This window comes from Homo sapiens, chromosome 11 (assembly GCF_000001405.40).
Source record: "Homo sapiens chromosome 11, GRCh38.p14 Primary Assembly".
In the NCBI taxonomy this organism is placed as follows: domain Eukaryota; kingdom Metazoa; phylum Chordata; class Mammalia; order Primates; family Hominidae; genus Homo; species Homo sapiens.
In genome coordinates this window covers 130,047,272-130,049,831 of record NC_000011.10, presented here as the reverse complement: position 1 = coordinate 130,049,831, position 2,560 = coordinate 130,047,272, and the positions used below count along the sequence as shown (strand labels likewise).

At 42.9% G+C, this 2,560-nt stretch overlaps 1 annotated feature.

The window, feature by feature from the left end:
* Positions 212 to 412: a silencer, noted in NCBI's record as "peak1512 fragment used in MPRA reporter construct". NCBI's record gives its function as "represses an SCP1 promoter by STARR-seq MPRAs in K562 erythroleukemia cells {active_cell/tissue: K562}" and the evidence as "EXISTENCE:reporter gene assay evidence [ECO:0000049][PMID:32103011]".

Here is a 2,560-nt window from a genome sequence, read left to right as displayed (position 1 = left end):
TAGGAGTCGTTCTGAACTGGACCACTCACTGGCCTTAGGTAGTCACTTAATGCCTATTGGCTAATTTCCTGCTCTCTATACTCTACATCTATTACTTGACCATTAATTTTCTTTCCAAGAAGGAAACACATAGATCCAGTAACTAGAAGTTTAAGAATGAAACTGCATTCTCTATGACATTTGCCTCAAACCTCTAAACTCTTTCACAAATAAACATAAAAGGAAGCTTAGATGGGTGGATCTACTTCTGTCTCATGGTGAGGGCTTTATCTGAAGATGTTACAACATTCTCATTTGGGTGGGTCATGGAAAAATAAGTAAAAGATTTTATAACAGCTCAGAGGTGTAGGCCAGGACAGCTTGGGTGGCTGACCAGAAAGAACAGTCTCCAGGGAAAAGCAGAGAGGCCTCTGAAAAGCTCTGTCTTCAACACTCATGTATTACCCAGTTTCCTCATCCAGAGTTGCGCCACTAAGGGTTTTGCCTCTCCCCTCCTCTCCTCTCCTCTCCTCTCCTCTCCTCTCCTCTCCCCTCCCCTCCCCTCCCCTCCCCTCCCCTCCCCTCCCCTCCCGTCCCCTCCCCTCTCCTCTTTTTTTTGTGTGTGACAGTTTCACTCTTATGGCCCAGGCTGGAGTGCAATGGTGCGACCCTAGCTCACTGCAACCTCCGCCTCCTGGGTTCAAGCGATTCTCCTGCCTCAGCCTCCCAAGTAGCTGGGATTACAGGCATGTGCCACCATGTCCAGCTAATTTTGTATTTTTAGTAGAGATAGGGTTTCACCGTGTTAGCCAGGCTGGTCTCAAACTCCTGACCTCAGGTGATCTGCCCACCTCAGCCTCCCAAAGTGCTGGGATTACAGGCGTGAGCCACTGTGCCCGGCCAAGAGTTTTTTCAAAACTGGGAGGCAGGTGGGAAATTTGGAAAGCTATAACTGTAGCTGCTGCCACGTAATTACAGACCAGAACTACCGATCGTGATTTCCAAGGTGGAGACATATTCCATATCTGTGCACCAAAACAGTAGCCACTAGTCACATGGGACTATTGAGCACTTGCTTGTGCCTTGTGTGACTGAGAAAGTAAATTTTTTTTTTCTTTTTTAATTTTTGTAGGGGCGTGGTCTCAACATGTTACCCAGACTGGTCTCCAACTCCTGAGCGCAAGCAGTCCTCCCACTTTGGCCTCACAAAGTGCTGGGATTACGGCATGAGCCACTGTGCTTGGCCAAAGAAGTGAATTTTAAATTTTATTTAATTGTAATGAATTTTAACTTAAATAGCTACATGCAACTAGTGGATACTGTATTGGGCAGTGCAGTTCTAGACTTTCAGGTGACTTGTCTAGATACTGGATGCCAAGCCCCAATTTCTTTACTGGTGGAGTACTGCAACTTTCACTTTAACCAACTCTTGAGCTTGAACCCAAAGTAAAAGAAGGAGGTGGCTGAAAAGTGAAAGGGTGGAGAGAAAAAAAATACCCTAATCTATTATTAAGGTGGAAGGACGACATGTATACAATTCTAAACCAAGTAGATAAAAAAGAAAAATGTAGTTGATCATCTCAACATTTGATATCTATACTAGACCAACAAACAATTTTGCTTTTTTTCTCCCTTAACTGAATGGAGAGAATTGGCAGATGAATTTGACATTCTGTAGTACAGTGAAATATAAATGAAAAACAAACACCAGGCAGGCCTAAGTGGATGTGGATTAAATTAAATATTTACACCCTACACAGCAGATCTTTTGTAAAGAGCAAGTTTATAAACCAGGAGCTTCCATAATAAAAGGGGTATGAATGGTTTTATTTATATCAACCTGCTGTTTGACACCTAGGCCACTGGCAATCTATCCCAGCTGCCAGCAGGTGACTTAAGTATCACAAAATACAGTTATCCAATTGTGTGTGTGTGTGTGTGTGTGTGTTTTGTTTTGTTTTGTTTTGTTTTGTTTTGTTTTGACAGAGTCTTGCTCTGTCGTGCAGGCTGGAGTGCAGTGGCATGATCTCAGCTCACTGCAACCTCTGCCTCCTGGGTTCAAGCGATTCTCCTGTCTCAGCCTCCTGAGTAGCTGGGACTACAAGCATGTGCCACAAAACCTGACTAATTTTTTTGTATTTTTAGTAGAGTGGGGGTTTCACCCTGTTGGTCAGGCTAGTCTCGAACTCCTGACCTCAAAAGATTTACCAGTCTCGGCCTCCCAAAGTGTTGGGATTACAGGTGTGAGCCACTGCACCCAGGCTTCAATTGTTTTAAAACTGCACTTGTATGTATAAATAAACACAAAAGATGAGAGGTATGTACATCAAAAATGTTTATAGTTGTTATTTCTATTATTTTAGTTAGGTTATTGTTATTATTGCCTTTATCATTTTGTTTTCTCCAGATTTTTAGCATTGAGCTGAAACTTTTTTTTTTTTTTTTTTTTAGACAAGGTCTTGCTCTGTTACCCAAGCTGGAGTGCAGTGGTTTGATCACGACTCACTGTAATGTTGAACTCCTGGGCTCAAGTGATACTCCTGCCTCAGCTTCCTGAACAGCTAGGATGTCTGGTTAAAGG